The sequence below is a fragment of the Homo sapiens genome, chromosome 20 (genome assembly GCF_000001405.40).
Source record: "Homo sapiens chromosome 20, GRCh38.p14 Primary Assembly".
Lineage (NCBI taxonomy): Eukaryota > Metazoa > Chordata > Mammalia > Primates > Hominidae > Homo > Homo sapiens.
Window position 1 is genome coordinate 10,577,382 of NC_000020.11, and position 27,833 is coordinate 10,605,214.

The 27,833-nt window shown below is 38.4% G+C and overlaps 1 protein-coding gene across 1 annotated transcript in view, besides 4 other annotated features; it reads left to right on the forward strand.

Moving 5' to 3' along the window:
- The window catches only part of SLX4IP (SLX4 interacting protein), a 192,726-nt gene that overhangs the window by 142,077 nt on the left and 22,816 nt on the right, over positions 1-27,833 (forward strand). The window contains exons 5-6 of the mRNA NM_001009608.3: positions 21,294-21,371; positions 24,350-24,438. Coding sequence (NP_001009608.1) covers positions 21,294-21,371; positions 24,350-24,438 — 167 coding nt within the window. The remainder of the gene's footprint in view (positions 1-21,293; positions 21,372-24,349; positions 24,439-27,833) is intronic.
- Positions 1,220-1,514: a silencer, noted in NCBI's record as "tiled region #6934; HepG2 Repressive DNase unmatched - State 9:DNaseU, and K562 Repressive non-DNase unmatched - State 24:Quies". NCBI's record gives its function as "represses a minimal TATA promoter and a strong SV40 promoter by Sharpr-MPRA in HepG2 and K562 cells {active_cell/tissue: HepG2 | K562}" and the evidence as "EXISTENCE:reporter gene assay evidence [ECO:0000049][PMID:27701403]".
- Positions 1,247-1,447: a silencer, noted in NCBI's record as "peak4145 fragment used in MPRA reporter construct". NCBI's record gives its function as "represses an SCP1 promoter by STARR-seq MPRAs in K562 erythroleukemia cells {active_cell/tissue: K562}" and the evidence as "EXISTENCE:reporter gene assay evidence [ECO:0000049][PMID:32103011]".
- Positions 15,580-15,874: an enhancer, noted in NCBI's record as "tiled region #11569; HepG2 Activating DNase matched - State 14:Gen5', and K562 Activating non-DNase unmatched - State 24:Quies". NCBI's record gives its function as "activates a minimal TATA promoter and a strong SV40 promoter by Sharpr-MPRA in HepG2 and K562 cells {active_cell/tissue: HepG2 | K562}" and the evidence as "EXISTENCE:reporter gene assay evidence [ECO:0000049][PMID:27701403]".
- Positions 20,632-21,831: an enhancer, noted in NCBI's record as "CDK7 strongly-dependent group 2 enhancer chr20:10578661-10579860 (GRCh37/hg19 assembly coordinates)". NCBI's record gives its function as "activates an origin of replication core promoter dependent on BRD2, BRD4, P300/CBP, MED14 and CDK7 cofactors, with strong dependence on CDK7, by STARR-seq in HCT116 cells {active_cell/tissue: HCT116}" and the evidence as "EXISTENCE:reporter gene assay evidence [ECO:0000049][PMID:35650434]".

Genomic DNA, 27,833 nt, shown 5'->3' on the forward strand with positions numbered 1-27,833 from the left:
TAGGAAGGCTGTAGTACTATATAGTATTCTAATGAACTGAAAGATAACAATAAGGCCTGGCATGATGGCTCACTCTTTTAATCCCAACACTTTGGAGACCAAGGCAGAAGGATTGCTTGAGACCAGAAGTTCAAGATCTACCTGGGCAACATAACAAGGTTCTGTCTCTACAAAAAAACATAAAAATAAATTAGTTGGGTGTGACAGCACGTACCTCTAGTCCTAGCTGCTCAGGAGGCTGAGGCAGGAGAATGGCTTGAGCCCAGGAATTCGAGGCTGCCGTGATCTATGATCATACCACTGTACTCCAGCTGAGGCAACAGAGAAAGACCCTGTCTCTTTAATGATAATAAGAAATGAATGAATGACAACAATGAAGCTTAATTAGGATGACTGTAGGGCCAGGAAGCCTACTGTTGGAAAATTATAGAATTCACCATCAAATACTCATAGATTGATTTGCTGAATCAGTCAAAATGATGAGAAACATTGTTTCCATATTTCCATTGTAGCCTCTTGTTGTTTACCAGTGTGGTGGAATAATTATATATCTCGTTTTTTAAATCTCAGACATTTTCACTTACAGGAAAGCCTCATTCTTCCTAACTATTTAGTTGAGAGATTTAAAAATGAGGAACACAGTTGTCAACAATCCATTTAGCTGAAGAATACTTCTCATTTTTTTAATAACAGCTTTATTGAGATATAATTCATATACAATTCACCTGTTTAAAGTATACTGTTCAATGGTTTTTATGTATTCAGAGTTGTGTAACCATCACCAGAATCAATTTGAGAACATTTTCATCACTCCAAAAGAAACCCTTTACCCATTAGCAGTTACTCTTCATTTTCCCCAATACCCCAGCCACAGACAACCAACCACCAGCTTACTTTCTGTCTCTATGGATTTGCCTGTTCTGGACATTTCATACAAATAGAGTCATACACCATGTGGTTCTCTGTAACTGGCTTCTTTCACTCAGCATAATGTTTTCAAGATTCGTTCATTTTATAACACATATCAGTAGTACTTTATTTCATTTTATTACAAATAATGTTCCATGGTATGGATCTATCATATTTTGTCCATTCATCAATTGATGGACATTTGGGTTGTTAACCACATTTGGCTATGATGAATAATGCTACTATGGGTATTCGTGTACAAGTTTTTGAGTGGACATATGTTTTCATTTCTCATGGCTATATACCTACGAATGGAATTTCTGGGTCATTCTGTACCTGTATGTTTAACATATTGACGAACTTCCAGACTGTTTTCCAAGTAGCTGCAGCATTTTCTGTTCCTGCCAGCAGTGTATGAGGCTTCTATTTTCTCCACATCCTTAGCCACACCTGTTTGTCTTTTTGACTATAGCTGTCCTGTGTGTATGAAGTGTTATCTCATTGTGGTTTTGATTCCATTTCCCTGATGACTAATAATGTTACCATCTATTCAAGTACTTACTGGCCGTTTGTATATCTTCTGTGGATAAATGTTTGTTCAGGATTTGAACCCATTTTTAATTGGGTTATTAGTCTTTTTATTGAGTTATGGGAATTCTTTTAAACATTCTAGATATAAGTCCCTTATCAGCTATATGATTTATAACATTTTTCTTCTCTTCTGTGGATTTTCTTTTCATTTTCTTGATGGTGGCCTTTGATACCCAAAAGTTTTTAATTTTAATGATGTCCAATTCATCTATGTTGTTGTTGTTGTGCTTTTGATATCATATCTAAGAAACCATTGCCCTATCCAAGGTAATAAAAATGTACATCTATTTTTTAAGGAGTTTTATAGTTTTAGCTCTTACATTCAGGTCTTTGATGCATTTTGAGTTAATTTCATATATGACATGAGTTAGGGGTCCAACTTTATTCTTTTGCATGTGGATATCCAGTTGTCCAAGTACCTTTTGTTGAAAAGACTATTCTATCCTCATTTAATTTTCTTGGCACCTTTGTTGAAAATCAGTTGACAATAAATGTGAGTGTTTATTTCTGGACTCTCAATTCTGTTTCTTTTTTTTCTTTTCTTTTTTCTTTTTTTTCTTTTTTCAGACAGAGTCTCTCTCTGTCGCCCAGGCTGGAGTGCAGTGGTGTGATCTCGGCTCGCTGCAACCTCCGCCTCCCAGGTTCAACCGATTCTCCACCTCAGCCTCCTGAGTAGCTGGGATTAAGGCATCCGCCACCATGCCCAGCTAATTTTTGTATTTTTAGTGGAGATGGGGTTTCACCATGTTGGCCAAGCTGGTCTCGAACTCCTGACCTCATGTGATCCACCCGCCTTGACCTCCCAAAGTGTTGGGATTACAGGCGTGAGCCACCGTGCCTGGCCTCAATTCTGTTTCTACATGTGTTTCCATATGCCAATACTGCACTGTCTTGATTACTGTAGCTTTATAGTAAATTTGAAATTGTCTTCTCATTCTTTTAATGGAACTATTTTTTTTTTCTTCCCAGCAGGGTCAAAGCTGGCATTTACTAGTTAGGATCAAGAATCTTTTTTAACCTAGCCAGTGCAAACATGATTTTAAATTGTTATAAATATCTGAATTTTAATGAATTAATAAAGTACCATTGATTTTGCCAGTGGTCTTCTCCAGAGATTTAGATTAAATTAAACCTTTCACAAATTTCTTGACTCTAATTGTTCCATTTTAACCAAATCAATGAAGATAAAAGTTATCCTCATTATAGTCAAGGTCTTCATAGGCAGAAAAACTGTGGTGAGTCACCAGTATTTGCAAGGTATGACTGAGGGCACTCATGGGTCTTTAATTCTCATTCAGAATCCTTTCCCTCAGGTTCTAAAGTTGAGGCCAGGTTAAAATCTAACCTCCTTTGTTCACCCTTCCAGGCTTGTCCCCCATCTCTCTCTATTATTCTATGCATTCTGAACTCTAGGCGTCAGTCTACCCTACCAGGGTTGCCAGGAGCCAAAAGGACTTGTCTGAGTTTTTGCACAGATATGAATGCAGTGCCCTCCGCTTCTCAGTCCCAGCAGAATGCTCCTGATGCTTTAATCCTCTGCTTGAATGTTTCCCATCCTTGAGGATCTCCCTCCTCCCAATTTGGTTTGTTACTCCCCTTTGTTAAGTTAGACTTACCCTTTTTTTTTTTTTTTTAACATTGCAGTTGCCTATGCCTACCTTTGTTGCAGTAGCATTTACAATGTAACCATCCTACCTTTAACTCCTCTGTCTCTCCCTCTGCCCTCAGTTGAGTCCCTCAGGAGCAGAGCATTTTTCTTGATACCCCTAGGACCTCACATAGTACTTATATGTGGTAGGTGTGCAAGTGGCATGAGTTGGATGGTTCCGGTTCGATTATTACTATTTGAGGGGCACCTGGTTTTTGACAGAATGAAAAAAGCATAACCATTTCCTGTTCATACTGGCTCCTGGAACTCCTCTACTGAAATCATTTTCAAGATTAAGAAAGAGTAAAATCCCTTTTTAGTGGAATGCCTCACATATACAGACATATATACTCCAGTTTGCTGCCAAACTGCCAACTCAGTAATAGCTCACCATGAATGTGATATTTAATAGAAATGATTGACAATAATTCCAGACAAAGGTGTACAGCCCAGACTTGTTTAACAATGTTGGCCTTAATGCCATTTCTAAGGAATCTTTTTTTTTCTTCTGAGCCCCAAAAAAGCCTTTTTCCAGAAAAGCTGTGTTGAGGAGAGAGCTGAGAAACAGTGAGACTTGCTCTAATGCATGGGGAAGGGGTTTGAATGATGCAAACAAGCAGAGTAGCAGTGTGTCCAGAAGTAGGTGCTGGTGGTAGAGAGCAGCAGCAGCCTGGGGAAGACCATGGGACAAGATGGAGGGACAGGGAGCTGATAGCAGGAGGTGTGGGCAGGGCTGATGTTGAGAAAATCCTGAAAAGTAGTGATATTTGGCTTCATACAGAACCTTACAGGTGGCTTCATACAGAACCTTAGATGTGAGAACCTTGGTGGGAGACATCTGCCACTGAGAAAAGATGAAGACAAACCTAGCAAACCAGTGAAATGCACAAGTCCAGGAAGAAAAGAGAGAGACAGAACGTGCCTGAGTTTGAACAAGATGTAGTGTATTATTACCCTTGATTGTGTGGATATTGCTTTACAACTCAGAGCTTTCTCCAGGATCCTCTTTCAGAGACCCCAAAGCACTGTAAAGTATCAAGTATTTGCAAATGCCAGGTAGAAAAGTCTCACACCATGCGGACTTTCTAGTAAAACAAAGGGAGAGGCCAGGTGCAGTGGCTCATGCCTGTAATCCTAACACTTTGTGAGGCCAAGGCAGGAAGATCATTTGAGAGCAGGAGTTCAAGACCAGCCTGGGCAACATAGTGATACCCCATCTCTACAAAAAAAAATTTTTTTTTAATTAGCTGAGTGTGGTGGTGTGCACCTGGAGTCCTACTTGCTTGGGAGACTGAGGCAGGAGGATCGCTTGAGCCCAGAAGTTTGATGCTGCAGTGAGCTATGATCACGCCACTGTCCACCATCAAAGCCCCCTGTAACTGGAAACATCTTCACCCGAAGTGGGATGACTGAGAGCTGAGTAATGCCTTGAAAATATTTGCATTTGTAACAGCTGAAGGACAGTGATGAAAAGTGATTCCGTGGGGTGGATCTCCAGGAAGCTGGGAAATGTGGCATAATAAAATGTTATGAGCTTTTGTGAGGCCCCAGGGAATGGTGAATTCTCAGTGTGCAACAAAAGGAAAAATATCTAAATAAAAGGAAAGTGAAGTTTTCATGGAATGACAGGGCTGTGTGTACTCCTGTCAGTGAGTGGGGACCAGGATCTTGGAGAGGTGGCAGGGTGCAGGCAGGATGCAGCTTTAGACCTTCCCAGACACCTGATCTGACACTTCTCCATAGGCCATTAGAGTGTCAGTCTGTTTGTTTCCTACTCTTATTTTAAATTCCCTCTGTTCCTGGTATTTCCTTAATATTTCCATTTTGTTTGCGTTACATATGTAAACTGTTTTTTTAAAACCTGCATTCTGTGTTTTTAGCAGGAAGGTTTCCTTTATCTCAGCTTTCAGATTTCCCCAATTCAGCTTTCAGAGATTAGCCCTGTTTAGTACAAGGTGATATTTTTATTGAATGGTGCACTTTCTATTCCATGCTTAACGGGTTGGTAATCTGGCTTGAGTCTGCAAGATGTGTGTGTATGTATCTATAACTATGTATCTATAAATCTATATTTTCAACTTGGGCCACTAGTTTAAAAATCTCAGGGTGAAGTTATTGTTCGTATTTTACAATAGTATGATAATTTAAGCTTAAGGAAGATAAGAGCTTTACAATCACCTATTAGATCATTTTTGTTTAGATTTCCTTTAAATTGTTATCTACTTAGAAAAATTATTCTAAAGATTATAGTTATAGTTCACAACATAATAAAAGATACTTTTGCCTTCCTTATAAAATGTTATTTTCAGGGTTAGGAAATTACCTAAAAAAATAAGCTTTAATCATGATTTATGTTCTGAGACTTTGGAAGAGGGTCTATATTAATATAAATATTTAGAAGAAAAAAATGTATCATCTTGAAAGGCCCTGAATATTTTCATGGTGGTGTTTCTTTTTTACAAATAAATCTTTAAAAGAATACTTTCATTTTTTAAAACATCAGAAATTTCAAATACATACAAAAATAGGATCATATAATGAACCCCCACTTATCTGTTGCCAGCATCCCAGTTTTAAACAGCATATAGCCAATGTTATTTCATTTATATGCTCATCTATTCCCTGCTCCCCCAACTATTTTAAAGTAGATTCTGGATGTCATTTAATTTTATATATAAATGATTCAACATACAGAGCTCTAAAAGAGAAGTGATTTTTAAAATGTTAAAAACGCCATTAAAGACAAAAAAGTAATGTCATCAACTATCTAGTCCATCTTCAGATTTATCTGAACGTCTCTTCAGTTCCTTTATAGTTGAGTTGTTCTATTCAGGGTCTGAACAAGGTTGGTGTACACATTCATTGCACTCGGTTGATTATCTTTATCATAGAAGAACACCTCCTTTAACCTGTAGGAACCCTCATCCCCAATTTTTTTTCTATCTGTTTATTTAAGAAAGCGGGTCAAATGTCCTCTGGAATTTCCCACATTTGGATTTGGCTGGCTGCATCCGGATGGTGGCATTAACCTGCCTCTTCCAGCCCCTTGTATTTTCTGTGGATTGGTGGTTTGAGCCACAGGCCTGATGAGGCTGGGGTCCCTTGTGTGAGAATACTTTGTGGTATGTGGGGTGTGTTTTCTGTTGCATCTCATCTGGCAACACATGATTTCTGGTTGTATCCCTTCTAATTTCACGCTAACAATGTATATACAATGAAAATGGAGCTTTTTATGATTTTAAAATTAATCAGTATTTTAGATTTGTTCATTAGGTATTTATATTACTAGTAAATACTGTTTAAGCAAAACAAAATTTAAAAGACTCTTTTACGTAGGCTTCTGAAACTTTGCTTAATTCAGGCAATTAAGATAAAAATATCAAGGTAATGTTTTGCAATAAAACCTGGGTGTTAGCATACATAGTTCCTTTTTAAATCTAAGTCTATGTAAGATCTAATTTAGCACCTTAATTAAGATGGTAAGTTATTGCATACCTATCATCATAAGGCTTACATATCAGCCCAATATACATCTTATGTGAACTCTTAAGGACTTGTATAATAGAAGATAAAAATAAAAAGCACATACATGGTGGGTTTTTTTTCCCCTATAAAAACGCAAATCAGCAGGTAGTTAAAACAAAAAGAAAGAAAGAAAAGAAAACAAAGAAGGCATGAGACCGGTTCATTTAAATTCCCTGGAGGAGTGATAATAATTGAGCTAATATGCATTGCCTTCTCATAAATTGCTTCAGTAGTTTAGGCCTTGAGTGGCTTAGAAATTAGCTGTCTCCCCTTGCCTCTTCACTGTTGCTATAGAATCCAGCTAAAGGCCTGTTTGTTTGTGTTTAAAGAACTAGGATAACCTCTTATATTCACTGACAGAACTTACATTTTGTTTTTGTCTTCTAAGAACTCTGCAAAGCACTACCATTACTCTAATAAGACTCTCACTACTAATTTCATTATAACATACCAGTAAATCAACAAAATAAGATTTAGAGCAGTAACTTCCAGACCTGTCTGAGCATCAGAATTCCCTGGAGCTCTTTTAAAAGAATGTAGTTCTCTGGCTCTCACCCCAGGTTCTCTGGGCCTGGGAATCCAGGAATCTGTATGGTTGGAAAAGACCTCAGCCTTGGAGATTCAAATTTCCCAAGTGATTTAGATATGGGCAGTGGACTCATGATTGGGAATTGGAAAGACCCTAGACTAGTAGATAGATGCTTATTTGAGCTTGATAGTGGATTATTTAATAACTGGAAGAGGAAGTAGAAGAGATGATAAGTTTTAGGAATATTTAGTGTTTTCATCCATGACTTGAGTGAATGCATCAAAAATGGGTAAAAGACCTAGCACCTTATAAAATGGGATAGAAATTCCAAATGACTGTGACAAAATTAAGAGGAATGTCTGTTACAGACAAATGCTGAATAGAAAATGTAGAATAGAAAACAGACTACATAAAAAGAAAAAGCAGAAAGCAAGCAAGCATGCAACTGGGAAACAAAAACAGAAGTGTGACATGAAAGAAGAAACACACAATGATCTTTCTTTAATTTAATGTTTTCCCCTGAAGCTCCTGTGTTGTTTTCTGCTTCTCATCTTTGCAAAGTTCCCAGAACAGATGTTTGTGTTTTGTGTCCTCTTTCATACTCTCATTTATTCTTCCACCCTGAAGCTACCTCCGAAATGCTACCAATCACCTCTCAATTGCCAGCTGAGTATTTTGTTCTATTTCTGCTGTCACTAATGCTCTCTGGCATTTGATCTTTCAACTCTCTTTTCCAAGACTTCACTATGGTGGCTGGCCTTCTTCTGATCTAACTACTCCATGTGGGCCCCTCTTTCTCTGCTGACTCTTGAGAGTGGTCCTGCCCTTGCCCTTTGATCTCTCACTTGACATGCTCTGCCATGGACTTTTCTTCCTTTTGGCCAGAGTTGCTTCAGTAGATCTGCAGCCATGACTTTTCCTCTGAACTCCAACTTTTCCTTTTCCTTTTCCTTTCCCCTTTCCCCTTTCCTTTCCTTTCCTTTCCTTTTTTTTCTTTCTTTCTTTCTTTCTTTTTTTGAGACGGAGTCTCACTCTGTCACCCAGGCTGGATGGAGCGCAGTGGCATGATCTTGGCTCATTGCAACCTCCGTCACCTGGGTTCAAGCAATTCTCCTGCCTCAGCCTCCCTCCTGAGTAGCTGGGACTACAGTTGCACACCACCACACCCAGCTAATTTTTATATTTTTAGTAGAGACAGGGTTTCACCATATTGGTCAGGCTGGTCTCGAACTCCTAACCTCAGGTGATCCACCTGCCTCGGCCTCCCAAAATGCTGGAATTACAGGCATGAGCCACCGTGCCCAGCCACTGCACACCTTATTTCTATTGGCTTTCCAAACAGCTTCACCCAGAAATCTCATTGATCCTCATCTCTAAAGCTTGGTTTATCTTACCAAGCCTACCTACCCTCTCTATACCTTAGGAAGCTACCACTCATGTAGTCAACAAAGTTAAAAAAAATTGTCATTGTCATCAGTCTTCTCTGAACACGTTTCATTGACAACCAAGCCTGTCTCTGATTTTCATCTCTAAAGTGTCCCTTGAATATCTCTCTCTCTTGTTAGTCCTATGGCTACTGATGATCCTTGCCTTCTCCCACTTGACTTTGTTAAAAGAAAAACTTTAGACAAAATAAATATAACAGTTTATTTGAGCAAATAACAATTCATGAATCAGGCAACACTCAAATCCACAAGAGATTCTGAGAGCTCCGTTCCAGCAGTATGGGCAGGGGGCTTTCATAGGCTGAATGTGGAGGCAAAGTAAAGAAATTACTTGATTGGTTATAGCTAGGCATTTGCCTTATTTGGATATGGTTCAATAGAAAGTCCCTAGTTAATATAACGAATTTGCTAGTTGGTTATCTGCGATTGGCTGAAGCTCCATTCAAAATTAATCAGTCACAAGGAATGCCTCTAAGTTAAGTTTTGGTTTGCTTATTTATGTAAGGGTTCCTAGTACAGAAACAACCCCAGACTAATGGTTTCTTGCTTATTTTGGCTTAACAGCTTGTTAATGATAGGTATGCAGTAATTTGTGATAAAGAGGGAAAAAAAGATGAAGAGAAATATTAGGAATAGAAGTATTAGTAATGAAAAAAAGACGTAATTAGATCAGGAATAGAAGTATTAGTAATGAAAAAAGACATAATTAAATTAGGTGGAAATTAAAATAAAAGACTATTAAGAACAACTTCGTGCCAATAAATTTGAAAACTAAGGTGAAATAGAAAAATTCATAGAAAAATATAAATTGTTAATGTGAGCTAAGAATAAATATAAACCCTGAATAGATTATTAAAGAATTTAAACCACTGGTTAAAAAAGAAAGCACCAGGTCTGGATATTTTACCAGGACAGTTCGCCCCAAAATTTAAGAACTAGGTAACTCCAGTTTTATGTACTTGAATAAATGTTAACATCTCCAATTCATTTTATGAGGTTACTATAACTTGACACTAAAAACTAGGATCAAAAAAGAAAAGAAAAAAACAGGACAATAAAAGAGAAGAAAATTACAGGTCAATCTCACTCAAATATAAAAGCAGAAATCCTAAACTAAATATTAGCAAGCTAAATTTGGCAATATAGAAAACAAAATCATGATATCATACAAAGTTGGCTCAGCATTAAAAGTCAATTTGTAATATTTACAACATTAATAAATTAAAAAGAGCAATGCATGTAACAATTATACAAGGTACAGGAAAAGCAACCAGTATTTATAATAAAAATTTTTAGAAAATTAGAAATATGTCTACAAAAAGTCTACAACAAATGTTCTCAGTAGTAAGTGAAACATTAACAGTGTTAGCTTTATAATAAGGAGCACCAGAAGATACCTACCAGCAGCAGTATTCAACACTCTACTGGAGGAGTTCCAGCCCAAAGAATAAAACAGGAAAAAAATATACAGGTGAAAAAATTGGAGATGAAGAAAAGTCCCTTTTTTGGTACATGGTATGATTGTATATGCAGAAAAATCTAAAATAAATATACATACAAATTACTCAAATTAAAACAAAGCTATAGCAAGCAAAACAGAATAGCACTGGCGTAAAAATGGGCCCTAGACCAACAGAACAAAATAGAGAGCCCAGAAATAAACTCATGTGTATATGGCCAAATATTCTTTGACAAGAGCACCAAAAATGCAAAATGGGGAAAGAATAGTCTCTTCAATAAATGGTTCTGGGTAAACTGGATATCCAAATGCAAAAGAATGAACTTGGATCTTTATCTTATACCATACACAAAAATTAAAATATATTAAAGTCTTAAATGTGAGACCTGAAACCATAAAACTTCTAGTAGAAGAAGTTGGGAAATGGCTCCTTGACATTGGTCCTGACAATGATTTTTTTGGATGTGACCCCAAAAGACAGGTAACAAAAGCAACTATATCAAACTAAAAACTTCTGTGCAGCAAAGGAAACAATCAACAAAATGAAAAGGTAACCTATAGAATGGAATAAATATTTTCAAGCCCATATATCTAATAAGGGATTAATATCCAAAATATATAAGGAACTCATACAACTCAATAGCAAAGAAAAAAAAGGAAAAGGAAGAAAGAAAACAACTAAATTAAATACCCCAATTAAAAATGGGGAAGGACCTAAGTAGATATTTTCCCAAAGAAAACATATAATTGTAAACAGGTATATGGAAAGGTGCTTAACGTTATTTACCATCAGGAAATGCACGTTATGACCACAGTGAGATGTCATCTCATACCTGTTAGAATGGCTGTTATAAAAAGAGATAATAAGTATTGGTGAAGGTGTGGAGAAAAGGGAACCCTTGCATGCTTTTGATGGGAGTGTAAATTAGTACAGCCATTATGGAAAACAGTATGGAGATTCTTCAGAAAAGTAGAAACAGAACTACCATATGATCCAGCAGTCTCACGTCTGGGTATATATACAAAGGAAATGAAACTAGCATCTTTAAAAATGTGCTGTATGTATACAATGGAACATTACTCAGCCATAAAAAAAGAAGGAAATCCTACTATTTGTGTCAGCACTGATGAACCTGGAGTGCATTATGCTACATGAAGTAAGCCAGACATAGACAAATACTGTGTGATCTCACTTGTATGTAGAATCTAAAAAAGCCTAATTCATAAAAGCAGAGAGTAGAATGATGATTGCCAGAGGCAGGGGTAGGGACAGAGTCTGGCTAGGGGAAGGGGTCAATGAGGGAAGGAAGGGGAGATTTGGTCAAAGGACACAAACTATCAGTTATAAGGTGAATAAGTTCTGGGGAATCTAATGTACACTGTGGTGACTGTAGTTAATAATCATTGCATACTTGAAATTTGGTAAGAGAGATCTTTAAATGTTCTCACTGCAAGAAAAAGAGAGATAACTATATGAGGTGATAGTTGTATTAATTAGCCTGATTGTGGTAATCATTTCACAATAGATACATATATCAAATCATCATGTTCTATACCTTAAATGTATACAACTTTTATTTATCAATTATACCCCAATAAAGGTGGGGAAAAAAGATTTAATAGGCATTTCAGCTGACAACATATAGAAGTCAGTTACAACAGCAGGCAGTTTAAAAATGTAGTTTTTAGGAGATAACATTTACATGACAACACTAAAAAAACTTTATTGGAAGGTATTAAATAAGTTATTAAAAATAATTAGGAGATTTACCATGTCAAATGTATGGGAAGTGTCATTATCATAAAGATGTTTATTTTCTCCAAATTGATCTATAAATTCAAGGTCTTTCTGATCCAACCCTGAAAGGGCTTTTCATGCAACTGGACAAGCTAATAAAAGGATAAAAGGCCAAGAATAACTTCAAGTACTCCTGATGAAGAAGAAAAATAATGTTGGGAGTCAGGAAAGGAAATTGCCCTACTAGATTAAGATTTATTATAAATAAAGCTCAGGTAATTAACATAGTGTTAACTGACTGATGATAAGCTAGTGGAATAAAGTGAGTCAGAAAGAGAGGTCTGTGTATGACAGACCTGGCAACCAGGGATCAGTGGGGATCTTCTGTTGAATACTCAATTTATTATTCATTTGGGAAAGAATAAAAACGGATTTCTAAATGGTATCATACACAAAGTCAATGTTCATAGTACTGAGGTTTTTAAAAATCACGTTATAAAACAACATTCATCATATGATTTCGTTTTTGTAGAAAGAAATAAGAGTATATGTGATTATATATTTTGAGAAAAGACCTAGAAGATATCAAAAGTCGAAAGTGACAAAGGGTCTCTGGGTGGTCGGATTGTTGAAGATTCATTTCTCTTTACACCTTTTTTTGTCTAGATTTTTAAAAATACATTGAGTCTATGTTACTTTTAATTAGGAAAAAAATTTTTTTTACTTTGAATTTTTTTTAACTATTCTTTTAGATTAAATTTAGCATTATTTTTCGCAGCTTCCAAACTGCCTCCTCCCCTTACACACATAAAAAATAACAGTTTCATTGTGATATTTGACTGGAATTGTCTGGTACACAATAGGCACTCGGTACATATTTGTTAAACAAATAAATATGGGAACAATTCACATCTTTATGATGGTTAGCCCTTCCAGTTGAGAACATGGTATATTAATCTTTTTAAGACCTTTTCCTAATTAATTATGAAAACTTTGTAATTTTTTAATGCAGATCCCACACATTTATACAATTAATGATTTCTAAAATTATATCATCTTTTCATTTTCCCCCATATTGAGTCAAACCCTTGAGTATCATTTTATTTTATTTTATTTATGTATGTATTTATTTATTTTTTTAATTTTATTTTTAGAGACAGAGTCTTGCTCTGTCACCCAGGCTGGAGTGCAGTGGCGCGATCTCGGCTCACTGCAACCTCTGCCTCCCGGGTTCTAGCAATTCTCCTGCCTCAGCCTCCGGAGTAGCTGGGATTACAGGCGCACACTGCCACACCCGGCTAATTTTTTGTATTTTAGTAGAGATGGGGTTTCGCTGTGTTGCTCAGGCTGGTCTCAAACTCTTGAGCTTAGGCATTCCACTCGCCTCAGCCTCTCAAAGTGCTAGAATTACAGGCATGAGCCACCGCACCCGGCTGAGTATCTTTAATGTCAGACCTAAGAGTCAGAAAGATGATTTTAACGTAGAAAAACATGCCCTGTTTAGTAAGGTTAAGGACCTGGGTTTATTTAGCTTAGAATAAATGACTAAATTGAAACTGAATACCTATCTTCAAGCATTTGGTAGTGGCCAGCTTTCCTTTAGCTCTGCCGAAGACACACAAAAAAGAAATTCAACTGAAGTGTGAAGAATTTAAGTTAGAGATTGCAAACTGACAATATAAAGCTACGTTGGCTCTCAGAGACATATTATTTGGACCACACAATATATTTTAAAAGTTTGAATTGTTTGCAAAGTTAAAATTTGAAGAGATTTCACATAAAAACTTGGATTTCCAGCTTTTCTGGTACCCCTGTGCCCTAGTTTCCGATGAGTTTGAAAATCACTGCTGTCCCCTTTAAACAAGCCCTGAGCTCTCTCCAGTTTTCCAGTCAGAACCCAACCCTTTTCCTGTTACCTGTCTTACCCCTCAGGCATTAAGTTTGCAATCTCAGTTCATATAAAGGACAGATAAAGTGGCACATAGGTAGGTATAGCATCTTCTCACTCAGCATTTTGGTGTTGTTTTTAAAAGATGGTTTTAATGTGGTCCTGGCTGACAAACAGGAAATGAACTAGGAGACTTCCAAGGTTGTTTCTTGTCCTTTGGGTCCATGGTCCTGTTAGAATAGTCCAGTGGTTCATGAACTCTCTTTCTCATTGCACATGATCTAGAATCTCAGAGTTGAAATGGATTCCCTGCAAGACAGGGAGGCCACAGAGGATATGCTTCATCTGGTGTTCCTCTGTATGCACAGGAAATTTGAAATCCATTGCAGAGGGGCCTGCTTGAACAGCTAATAGTTCAAACAAGCAGCTACCTCATTTAGAAGGCTTATTAAACATCTCTGTTTCTTTTGTGTATAGTTATTTAAAGATGAGTGAAGGGTTTTAAAGAGAACTTTGAGTTTTATAAGTACACAGTATTATATTATTCTTATCATTATGCATGGCCTGGCAGAGTTATGATTGTGGGAACCATAGTTTTGAATATCATTTCATCTATGCTTGCGTGTTATCCAAACACAGTTTTCATATTTAATGTTAAGGGCCTTTTTTTAAATAAACAAAAAAGTGGGAAAGCAACATGGGGAAGAAATCTGAAGTGATCATTTCTCAATTTGTTTTATTCTAATTTTTGTCTGCTCTGAAAAGCCTTCTTATTCCATGTGAACAATCTCTGATGGGTCCCACAGAAAATGAAATTTGTGGCACATGTGCCCTCTGGCATTACCTACAAAGTCAAAAGGGTGACAGGCAGAAAATGGGTGTTTTTTTCTAAATAAATTTGGCTCCGAAGAATTATTTTATAAATAATGATTTTATTCATGAAACATTTCATGCTCCATTTGTTTTGGCATCAAATAGACATAGCTTTATTGTGACTCAGAGTCTAGTACTGTCCTTATTTAGGGACATGAAATGTTATCTCAAGGGAACCTTTTTGGAATCTCTAAATGTCTTGGGTAATAAGTGAAATTTTTAGCCTAGGATCAAATATTCCACTTACCCACCAAATTTGTTTCCCAGTTGTGGTCTTAGACTAGGATCCCGTATGTATATTCCTAAACTTGGGACAGGACTCTTGGTTTTCAGTTCCCACAGAACAACCCCTTTCTCCAACCCCCCCCCATCACCAGCAATAGAGGAGGTCACACTTGGACCCATAACATGTTTCCAAAGGCCCCATCAAGGCTTTTTCATAGGCCCCATCTCATACTTAGTCTCTTTTCATGTTTGAAGTGACAGCATCAAACTCATGATTTCCCTACCCTTTCTACCCTAGGCCTTTTGATAAGGACAAGGTGCAACTTTCTGAGTGACACAGTTTGGGATGTAATGAGTTACAACTTCATTTTTCCTTAATGAAATAGCTTGAAAGCACACGTATTCTTCATCTTTTTTTTTTTTTTTTTTTTTTTTTTTTTTGAGATGGAGTCTCACTCTGTTGCCCAGGCCGGAGTGCAGTGCCATGATCTCGGCTCACTGCAACCTCTGCCTCCTGGGTTCAAACGATTCTCTTGCCTCAGCCTCCCAAGTAACTGGGACTACAGGTGCGTGCCACCACGCCTGGCTAATTTTTTTATTTTAGTAGAGACAGGGTTTCACCATGTGAGCCAGGATGGTCTCGATCTCCTGACCTCGTGATCTGCCCACCTTGGCCTCCCAAAGTGCTGGGATTACAGGCGTGAGCCACTGTGCCTAGCCTCTTCATCTTTTAAGTATATTATATGTTCCTAGTCTAGTCTAATACCCAAGATACTGTCAGTACTCAGTTGGTATCAGCCTCTTTCTTCCTGTTCTCTTATTAAATCACAACCAAGCTTGAGAACTGACTCATGACTTCAGACTGGAAACAGTCACATGTCTGAACTGGCGTGCAATGCAGAGCTGCTTCCGGGTTAGCACATAGTAATCTGATTATGACAAAGTGCCCTTTCTTAAAGCAAATATCAGACCACTATCCAACCTACCTAAGTAAGCTTATCTTCACCAAAATTTTAACTATCTACAAATCCATAATTTTATTTCTTTGAAATTATCATTAGGACCAAATTTTCAGGTCATCTGTATGCCAGTCTTTGAATTGTCATTATAGCTTTAGTTTGAACCTGTAATTTCCTACAGCAGTTAAAGGAGAAGTCAAAATTAATAAATGGCTGGCATTTTAAAAGAGCATACAGGTTGAAATTTTGTGTTTAGGCAACTGAGGTTAAAAAAAAAAGCTTAGCTGGGTGCAGTGGCTCACACCTGTAATCTCAGCATTTTGGGAGGTCCAGGCAGCAGGATCGCTTGAGCCCAGGAGTTCAAGACTAACCTTGGCAACATAGGGGGACCATGTCTCTAAAAATAATTTTAAAACTTAGATGAGTGTGGTAGCATGCACCTGTGGTCCCAGCTACTCAGGAGGTTGAAGTGAGAGAATCATCTGAGCCCAGGAGGTTGAGGCTGCAGTGAATTGTGATTGTGCCACTGCACTCCAGCCTGGGCAACACAGCAAGACCCTGTCAAAAAAAAAATTCAAATGTAGAATGGGGTTGTTCTATAACACAACTAGCCTGATCTCTTTAAAAGTTCAGAGTTCTTTTTTTAAAAGGTAAAGGGAGATTATTTTAGATTAAAAGAGATATAAGCAAATACATCTCTTAAAATCCATGATCTTTGGTTGGATCCGATTCAAAGGAAAATCAGATCAGTGATACACATTTTGGGACAATGGAGAAATTTGAATATAGGCTGATTATTTGATCGGTAATGTCATACTCAGTTGTAATAATAGTGTCGTGGTGATGAAGGAGAATTTCCTTATTGCTCAAGAGCTGTGCTCACATGTTTAGGAGTAAGGTTTCATGATGTCCACTTCGAAGCAGTTTAGAAAATATGTGTATGAAATACGGCAAAATATTAACTGTTATTGAATCTAGATGGTGGGTTTTGGGATGTTCATGACATTATTTTTCTACTTTTCTGAATGTTTGAAATGTTTCAGACTGTGTGAGTGATGATAATAATGGAGTCATCTCAGGGAGAGAAGTACTGAGGGGCATCGTAGGTCTTCCTGAGCCTGCCTTGTAGTTTGGGAGAAGGCTTTGCTGGAAGAGAGCCACACAGGTGGTGGGTGGGGTCCACAATGAAGTGGAATTCACCTGCCCGGAGGTCCTGATGGCTCACCAAGCCACACAGAGGCATTTTCCCAGGCTCGTCCATGAATGGTCTCGTAATAGCTGTGGGAGAGGACTTCCCACTGTTACGCACCAGACCACAGACTCCCGTTGGCAGCTGTGGGGAAGCTCAAGTCGCCTTAGCTATGAATCCCCTGGAAAACAAGTGAGGCTGGATAGTTTTACAGTAAAATCTCTCATTGAATATTTGCTCTCAGTGTCTTGGGACTGTGAACTGTGACAACCCAAATAAATGACCACTCCCTTAAAACCATTACTCATTGGAACATGGTACTACTTGAAACTAATCTACTGCCTTGCTAAGCCAGGATGGAATTTGTTCAATTCATATTTGAGTTTTTTTGTCGTAATTTTTGCCTTTCTGTTTATGAAGACTGCAAATTTCTAGTAGAGCCATTTTGGAGCAGCTTATTTTAGACAGAATATGAAATAAAATAGTAGGAGGACTGTGGTTTGTCCTTTCTTTCTCTCATATGCATTACTGACCACCTCTCCATTTTTTTTAAAGAGACTCAATAGTTTTTGATGAACAACTTAGGTAAGCCAGAAGAAAGTTAGTGTGGTAACAAGTAATCATTTGAGGCTTCATGCTTTGGAGGTTGTTTGTAGAAGGATAAGGAGAAGTGCAACAGCTTTTTACGACATACAGAGAGCAAATGGTGGCACAAGAACTGGAGATTTTTTGGGCTGCTTGGAGGCCAGGGGAGAAGATGGGATCTTGCTGATACTAGATGATTGTGTTACATTAAGCAATTCAAAAATATCAATTGTTTCTGGAAATGCACATACCTGCAGACGCCTGGTGGTAAGATGTTTCTATTGCAAAGCTTTTTCTCCCTCTAATCCAAATCCCTTCTTGTGTCTAAAGACAGTCTTCTCAGATTTAGGAGCACCACAGTCGCCAGCAAGGAAACAGGCATACTGAAATGTGATTTGCAAGTGCCTCATAATATTAATACCATCATCCAGTAGTTTTCAGATGAAAAGATGATCACTTTATGATTTCCATTTGCTCTGCTGACTCAGGTTTTCTGCATTTAAAACACCAGCATAGCGAGCTGGGAGCTGGTGCCCCAAGTAGGAAAAGCAAAAGGACTTTTGGATCCTTTGCCAAATTGCTGTTTAGCTTTAGAGAGTAGTGGAGCTTTGCTTTAGCCCTGGGTAAGTACAAAATCTCAGTGGCCTCCTGAACTCTGTGAAGTTGATTTCATTAAAAGCAAAGATAAGAATGTAGTCTTTATCATTGCCTTTTGTCTATGAATAAATGAAATACATCTTTCTAAGCATTTCAGTGCAGTATGTTTCAAGCAGCAATAATTTTCTCTGTTTATAGATCAAATTTAGTTTGCCATAAGAACTGGCATAGTACCTTTTGTGTTTAATCTCTCCTCAAGTTTCTCTTTAAACAAAGTTTCATATGACCAGTCGAATTTGGATTAAGCAGGTGCAAATCTTTTTTACATGTTAAACTTGCTATTTCTCTTGTAGGTGCCATTTGGGCAGGTTTTCCATTGAAACCACTAATAACAAGATGCTATTTAGAAATGATTCCTTTTAACTTAATTCTGTCCTGGGGTGGGAGGTGTAGGGGTCAAGGTTTCAATAAACTCATTTCTCCTACTAATTTCAGTAACAAATCACTTGAAATCTGCCTTATACTGCTTTCTTTTTCTATAGGGGAAGGTGTCATATTGAGACTTGATTGTTCAGCAGTCCAGATAGGATTTAGCTGTCACTCAAGTAGTATCTTCAGATACCAGGCTTCCTGGACTCAAAACTGTAGCTTTCATGGTCAACTTCAGATTTTGCCCCTTCCTGATAATAACGTTTTTTTTTAAGATGGGGTCTTGCTTTGTCGCCCAGCCTGGAGTACAGTGGTGATCATAGCTCACTGCAGCCTTGAAGCCCTGAGCTCAAGCAATCCTCCTGCCTCAGCCACCTGAGCAGCTGGGACTACAGGCGTGTACCACCATGCCCAGCTAATGTTTTTTTGTATTTTTTTTAAGGAGACGGGGTCTCAGTATGTTTCCCAGGCTGGTCTCGAGCTCCTGGCCTCAAGCAATCCTCCCACTTTGGCCCCTCAAAGTACTGAGGTTACAGGCATGAGCACCACACTGGGCCTGATAATAACATTTTATTGCTAAAGATTTTGCATAGGAAGAAGATTTTTGAAATTTCGAACATGCCTCCTGAATCTTAATCACTTAGAGCTATATATCAGCAAAGGTAGAATAACAGATATTATACTTTTTTTTTCTCAGTTCTTTGGAAGACTTGCATTATAAATTAATACTTGAAAAATACTTTTAAATTTTGCTGTATGTGTTTGTGAGTCACCAATTGTTAAGGATTCCACTTCTTCCCTCAGCAGTTGGACAAATAAACAGATGTAGAAATGACTTCCATTCTCTCAGTGACCTAAGAAATAACGTATTTGTTTTAAAGCACTCAGAGTAATGTCAGTGGTGTGTATATTTTGTTTGACATTTTAAGCAGAAGAAAGCCACATGACTGAAATGCAATCTATTTTCAAGTGTGTTAGGAAAAAATTATTTTATCTCAGCAAATCCGGAGATTATCCTTTCATAGATGTCACTGTTCTTGCACAATCTGCATGACTAAAGCAATTGTTCTGTCAGAGCCATCGCTTGTTTAGACAGCATCAAGTCTGTGGTCACTCATGTCCTGGGTCTTTCTACAGGAGTGTCGGAAGGATACTGAATATGAAAGTGGAAACTTCTTTAATTGTATTCTTTATATAAGTTATTTCAGACCAACCATAGTCATGGACTTTGGAGAATCTGATGGTCCTAGAGATTACTTCCTGCAACTCTTGGCCACTCCAGTTTGACAGAGGGGGACCCTCACCCCACTCTGGTGGAGCTTTTGCTTCTGATTCTTCTACCAAATAACTTGACTGCTGACTGCGATAACCAGGAACGGTTTTACTGTGATTTCAGGAAAATCATCAACAAAGTAGTTTATACCTGGAGGGAAGCCAGAAGAGAAGAGAAAGGGAGAGAGGAAGGAATTAAGCTGGCACTTTCTGTGAATCATCTGAAAATCTGTTGCCACCCTATGAGACGAATGATAGTGTCTCCATTTTCACAGATGGCATTTACTCTTCTGGATCAGGCTTCTTTCATGTAACATTATGTTTGTGAGATGTATTTCTGTTACTACCTATAACTGTAGCTCATTCATTTTTAGAGGCACTATAGTATTTCAGTGTGTGACTATATCCCCATTAAAAAATTTACTGTTGATGGATATTTGCATTGGTTCCAGGTTGAGACTATTGTGAAGAGTGCTATTGTGAACACTGTATGTTCATGCCTAAGTTCAGCTTTAGATACTCAAGCATTTTTTTCAAAGTGGCTGTACCAATTTGTACTCCTGCCAGCAGCGTATGAGAATTCCAGTTGTCCTGCATTCTTGCCAACACTTTATGCTCTGTCTCTTTCACTTAGGCCACTCTGGTGAGTTGGAGAAATTATTTTTTTACTCATGTCATATTTCTTTTAATCTCATTCTATATGAAGATTTTGACATACTTGAATTAATTTATTTACAGGCAAAATACATCCATGTTCAAATAGGTATGAACTGCTTCTTTTTATGAGCTAATAAGCAGTGAGTATGAGAAGGTGGCTAAGATCTATTCGCAAGCTCCGACTGAATTATCCCATCTGAAAGTACGTTAGACCTCATTTATTTCGTTTTACAGTTGAAGTAACTGAGGGACTTCAGGGACTAGGGACTATGCCAGCGTCATAGTCAGGCCTCCTGGAAGAGGCAAGATAGTAATGTTCACCCTTGCCTCTCAAGAGAAGCCCTCTGTTAATTCCTTTATTCTTTCATTTACTAATTATTATTATTTTAGATAGAGTCTCGCTCTGTCACTCAGGCTGGCGTGCAGTGATCTTAGCTCACTACAACCTCCACTTCCCAGGTTCAAGTGATTCTTCTGCCTCAGCCTCCTGAGTAGCTGGGATTACAGGTGCCCGCCACCTCACCCGGCTAGTTTTTGTATTTTTAATAGAGACAGGGTTTCACCATGTTGGCCAGGCTGGTCTCGAACTCCTGACCTCAAGTGATCCGCCTGCCTCGGCCTCCCGAATTGTTGGGATTACAGGCGTGAGTCATCACACTCAGCTTCATTTGCTAAATAACTATTGAATGTGTCTTTTATGGCAGGCACTGGGCTGAACTCCAGAGATTTAGCGGCAAACAAACTTAACTTAGTGATGTTCCCTTTCACTTTCCAGGTTATGGCTTTCAAATCACAGCCTATTTCCTCAAGAGAGGGATACGCCTTCGCTGCATCAGGAGCACACAGAATGCTGGTAAGAAGCCGATTTCTTGGTTTGTCAGACATTTCACACAATCTGCTTGCCCTAGATAGAGAAGGGATGAAAATTAAGGAGTGGAGAGTCCCACTTGCTTCATTGCCTTCATGTCTTGAGTGTGTCCGAAAGTTTGCGATTTCTTTCCTCCCACCTTGTACTGTGTTTACTGCCTCTCTAAGAACAGTGAGCTGGGCCACATCATGCTTTCCTTTCCTGATGCATCTCAGCACTTTCTTTGAGTTTTCAGAGTGACTCAACACAGTTGAACTATGAATCACTTCAGTATTGTCTGTGCACACCAAAGCCCTGGCATATGGAGCAGGTGTGTACACAAGAAAGCTCTTTCCCAGCCCTGAGCTCTCAGAGCTTTCCCTAGGTGTGTGATGAGGCCACTTTCCCCCATCACTTCCCCAAGTCTAGATGTCCACTAAGGATATGATTTCAAACTTGTCCAGCCAGCAACAGTAAAGTCAGAAGCTAATGATCATTCTCCAGGTTGATCTGAGCACTGGAAAGAAAATTTAGTTCACCTTCCATGGACAATTTCAGTATATATATAAGATATGATATAGGAACTTTAAAAAATTAACATATAGAGGCTTGCTGTGGAATCTTCATGATTATCTGCATTTTCTTAACTGTAAACTCTGCTCGAATATGTTATTCTCTTTTTTGCTGTTATTTGTTTGTTTTTGAGACAAGTTCTCACTCTGTCACTCAGGCTGGAGTACAGTGGTGCAATCATGGCTCACTGCAGCCTCCTAAGTAGCTGGGACCACAGGTGTGTGCCACCATGCCTGGCTTTTTTTTTTTTTGTAATTTTTGGTAGAGAAGGGGTCTCACTATGTTGCAGCTGGTCTCAAACTCCTGGGGTCAAGCTGTACTCCCGCCTTGGCCTCCTAAGGTGCTGGGATTACAGGCATGAGCCAGCATGCCCAGCCTTAGATATACTGCTTTCTTAACAGGTCCTTCCACTTTGTTCAACTCTCTAGTAAAATAAGTCAGCTAACCTTGCACTTGTGCCCTTTATGGTAAGGACTATCATTGCCTAAATATTTAATTAAATATTAAAATAGTACAACTCTCAATAATGACCTAAACAGAGCAAAAGGGTACAGAAGTTGCTTTCTGTTAATACCTGGCAGCACCAAAATGTTTAAAATCTGCCATTCGAACATTGTTACTTTTCAGAGGAACAAATGCAAATACCGAGGAATTATTTGATAGAACTGATAATTTTGAATTCCAGTTCTGATCCACTAATGAACTGTTGTATTTCAATTTTATGATTTTTTTAGGGGGGGGAGGTGGAAAAATAATGAATTCTGTGGCTCAGTTTCCCTCCCATAAAATGATAAAAAGGCTATATACCATTTATCGCAATAAGATCTTTTAAGAACTAATGAATAAATATTAATTGCTTTGCTAATTTTGTTCTTCTGGCTTTTCAAAATCCACCTCTAGTCACCTAGCCAGATATCATATGCCCACATGGGGTCAAAGTTGAAAAAAACCCAGGCCCCCACCTGAAATGGGGGCTTTCCTCATGAGGAAGGCTAATTGGGAGTGAGACCAGAACAACAGGTTAATCCCTAATCATGGAGGGCTTTGAATATTGGGCACTGGGGAGCCATGGTAGGTTTTTGAGCAGGATGAGTGGAGCTCTTTTTTTAGAACTGTTAACCTGCTGTTCTGAATAGGATAACTTGGAATAGGGAGAGTGACTGCCAAGGAGACAGCAGTGGTTGATGGGATAAGGAGAGAGCTGTTACTGGAACAACAACTCATTGGGCCTCTTGGGATCATTTAAGCTAGTCTAGTAGTGTAAGGTGTTAACTTGTTTAAATTCTGTGTCCATGTAATTGACACCTTCTTGCTTGGCTTCCAAGCGGTGCATCAAATTGAGATACCTTATTACCTCAGTCATTGCCATCATGTGCAGTGTACCTAAAAGGCTTTACTCACCTGATTCATAATATCCATCTTTAAAAAGAAATTGGTCTCATGTAAGAGGGAAGCTTTCTCTGTTAGAAAAATGACTTAATTTCTATCACAAATATCAGACATGTATATCATAAAAATATTCAAGCAGTACAACCAAGTAGGAAAAAGGGAGAAGAGCCCCCTCCCCACCCGCCTGGAACATACCCTGTTGGCATCAGCTTAGCATCACTCCAGACATCATGCCTGGGTAGCTGGAGGCTGGCGAACAAATGGATGGATGGACAGACAGATGAGAAAAGGAAAGATCCAGATGTCATTACCATCTTGCCTTCCTTTCATTGAATGCCGAGGAGTCCAGTTCAGTGATTTATTCAGTCTTTCCCAATGAGAAGTCAATGGTTTTGTTTTAAGAAGCAGCAATAATAGATTACTATGAGTATGGTGTAATTTTACCATCTTTATTGTATATTTAACCATTTTCTTAATAGTTGGATCATTAATTCCTAAGAAAAGCTGCTGTTTTCCCAGCCTGCTTCAGATTAGTAGTTTGCCCTCCAGGGTCGGGGAGCTCTCTAAGACTAGCTAACCAAGGAGATGATAAGTAAAGTAACTAGGAAAAACATTGATAGGTCACATTTTTAGATTTTATCTAATATTCTTCCTCTTCCTCTAAAGTGTTACATGCTCATTTTGAAAACATTGATCCTATTTTCTAAATAGGAGTTCTAATCAGAAAACAGCTGACTGACACAGAGGGGAGGCTACAGAGGTTCTGCCTGGGGGTTTCCTGTAATGTAATGGTCCCGGGGCGCAGGTGGACCAATTTGCAGCCTCATCAGCTCTCCCTAGAGCTTTGCGCTCACCCTGCCCTATTGACGGCAAACACCGAAAGGATGGGAGGAGAGAAGAGACGTATGTTTTATATGGATGTGCATATTGCAGTAACTTAAAATGAACAAAAATCTGGAACAACCATTCTGTGTTTATAGTTTTTTGACACCTTTAAACTTGTTTTTCTTCATTTTATACAGAACTCTGTGTATTCCCTGACAGATTTGTGGTTTGTGTCAGTCAGCTTGCATTCAGTCGTGATCTTTTAGCAAGTCAGAATGAAGATTTGGTGAGTATGAAAAAATTCTATAAACAAATAAGTCTGCTTAAATGCTGAGTTACTGTAAAAAATAGAAAACAAGAATTGTCTGCTGTTGTCATTCAGCTGATGAGCACCCAACGCATGTTTTAAGGGAACAAGAAGCCCTACCTGTTTTACGTGGTAATATCAACTAATTCGTGTATTGTTCTTCTTTTCCTCAAGACCATTTTAATCAGCAGTACCTTTTCCATATCAACTGTAAATGAGAAAGCAACACATCACAAAAGCTGTGATGGTGCTTATGATAGTGTTTAAATGAAATAAAGAAAAGTCTTTAAGTGAAATGAAGCAAAATCCACATGTTTCCACTGGAGGCTTTCATTGGGGTCAGTGGCTTTTAAATTTTATTCCATGGTGAATCACCGACATTTTCATGAGAACCAGTACTTTTCCCCAGTGTATTATTTCATAGCTGATAGGGTTCATTTTCTCCCTCTCTCTCTCTCTCTCTCTCTGTCTCTCTGTCTCTCTGTCTCTCTGTCTCCTTCTCTGTCTCCCTTTTCTCATGCTAAGTCTTGAGTTCCAGCAGGGCCTGCTTCTGTTTTATTGGAGTTGTCTCTTCAGACAAATAGATAAAACTGACTCAGAATTGCAGCTGACTGCTTTGTCTTTTAAGCTGAACATGTACACTTGAGAATCTCCTTGTTGCACGTGTGTGTGTTTCCTGCAGCCACAGTCCAGTCTGCCTGACTTCTACACAGACTTTTTTTCATATTTTTGGACGTATGACTTGAATCTTTAAGAAACAGGGACATATGACTTGAATCTTTAACAAACAGAAAAAAAATCCAACAGACATTAACCGGGCCATGAAGTGTGACATGATTATTATGCTTCTAAAATAATTTATGGGAATATTAGATTACCCTTGATGTTTATTATTTTTTAATCCGTATGAAATCTGAAATTTGGCCCACATCATCTAAAACCAGCTTCTTATCTCATCTTAAATAAATACATAAGAAGAGTGTTTCAGAGGCTACAAGGGTGAATAGAGACCCAGGAAAAGTAAAGAGCAGAGAACTTATATTTAAATTTAGATGTCTGCGTTTGGTGCAGAGGAACCCTTTGCAACAGCCAGTGTGGTTCATATTTCCTCTTCTTCATCCATCAGTCAAACTCTTAAGAATACACATTAAATGAATGAGGCAAATTTGGTGAAAAGTATTAAGTTTGTCCTTTGAAATATTTCCAGGATGTTGAGTTATCTTCGTAAACTAATAAATACTAAAGTGGCAATGCCATTGGCATACATCTAAAATATAATATAGCTTAACTGATTCAGAGCAAGGAAGAAATTGATCTATGGGTTTAAGAAAACAACAATTAACTGTTCCAGAAAGTATTATTACTTTCAAATGAAATACAGGAGAAATTAGATCTTCTATCTGATATGTAATATTAATACTTAGTATCTTAAATTATTAAGGAGGGATTAAAACATCTCAATACAAATGAAATATTATCCCCCTTAGGGGCCTTGGTATTTATACAGATGTAAGTTTTCTATACCGGCTGTCATATAAATCCTATAATCTGGAGGACTTCCTAAACATTGAGAATTTTCATTCTGAAACTCTCACCGGTCTAAGCCTTTTACATGAGTGAGTTCAGTTTCTTTATCTTTAAGATGTTCTGATAACCAGTGATAACATGACCAGAGTTAACCACATTAACTTATGAGGAAAATGCCATTTCCATCATGAGGCTCGTTCCTTGTTTTGAGTGATTGTCTTTAGTTGTGGTCAGTTTCTGTCTCTTCAGTTGCTCATTTACTCCACCTCTGTCTCTTCACATATACATTTTCCCAGCCACATATGTCAGCTAAAGCCTGGCACTACTCAACAGTTTCATCTCGGGGCTCAAGCTCTGTGCGTCCCTCTGCCTAGCCTGCTCACCTCTGCCACCTCCCCTCCTCACAGGCCTCCAGCCCACTACTTCCTCAGGCCTGTTGTTACTAGAAGCAATAAAAGACCCAGGTCAAGTAAAGGTCCCTCTCCCACAAATGACCCATCAAGCCAACTACACCATCCTTCCACCAGAAGTGTCTTGTAGTTTAATTCTCATTGATATTTGACCTCTACAGAGTCTGCCTGTCTCAGCTATTTAAGGATCAATAAACAGCCCTTCCCTTCCAGAACTGCCTTCTGCCTGAGAGAAGGCATTCTTATCACTTGTTCCATACTTCAAATGCCCACAGCCAGTGATGTCAGGCTCCTGTGAGTATTCCCTGGACTTGCTTCAAGCTTTGAATTCTTATATCACTTTACATGGATATTCACCAAAGGGCAGGATCCATCTCATTTTCTCTGGATAGCAATTCTCAAGAACATCTGACTGGGCAAGGCTGGGAAAATTGGTACCCGCAGTAGCTATGTTGGAAAGATTTCTTTGGCAATAAACTTCAGTTGTTTTTGTATAACTATTGACTTAACTCACTCTTCTGCAGCCACAGAAGTGACAGAGGAGTGAACTAGTACTTGAGCAACAGCCTGGGTGCCTTACTCGTGCTGTAGCCTTGAGAGCACACATTCCCTTTCCTTCATCTTTTTTTTTGGATTCTCAATGTCTAAGTGACAATTTGTTAGGAAATCTGGGAGCGTCTATTCAAAACTCCTCTGTCAAGGGATTCTTTCAACCTGTAGACAAGGAAGCCAGCTGCACTTAGCTCCCCAGTACTTAAAGGTGGTTGCACAAAAGAACTGCTGTTCCAGATCAGGCAGTACAAAGGGAGTAATCCCCCTCCTTTACGGAGCAGAGCGAATGCAGCCACGCTGCCCCTAAGCACCACAGCGCCAGGGAGGTCTGTCCCTGCTGTCACTGTTGCGTTTCTCTTGTCCACTCAGGGACTTTGGTGCAGGGAGATCCTCTGTGTTGCAATAGCTCTGCACAGAGTGCCCATGTGCTAGGGATGTGGGAATTGTGATGTGTACTTTGGGAAGAAAGGACATTATTATGAAATGAGTCATTGTATTTTTCTTACTAGAGTTTCTCATAAGAAATCTAAAAACTCTTGTAGCCTCAGTTTTTGACCTATTGCTAGATATAGGACTGGGGAGTCTTTTGAGAGTTTTTACCTTTATTTGGTTTGTTTTTTCCTCACCGTTTTTTTCCTTGGAAATATGAAGAACATAAAGTGAATTTTGATTGCGCTCAGCTACATTCCATTCCAACAATATTTTCTTATTTACAAACCCAAAAGCCTATGTAGAAACTGTTTTCTTTCTCAGATGTAAAGTCCTGGAGCCTTTGGGAAATTTAAAATTATTTATTATTTCTTTGTTAAAGTTGTGTAAATAACCATAGAACTCTGTATATATCTGGGACATTTCTGGGTCAGGACAAAGCTACTATTTCATTGT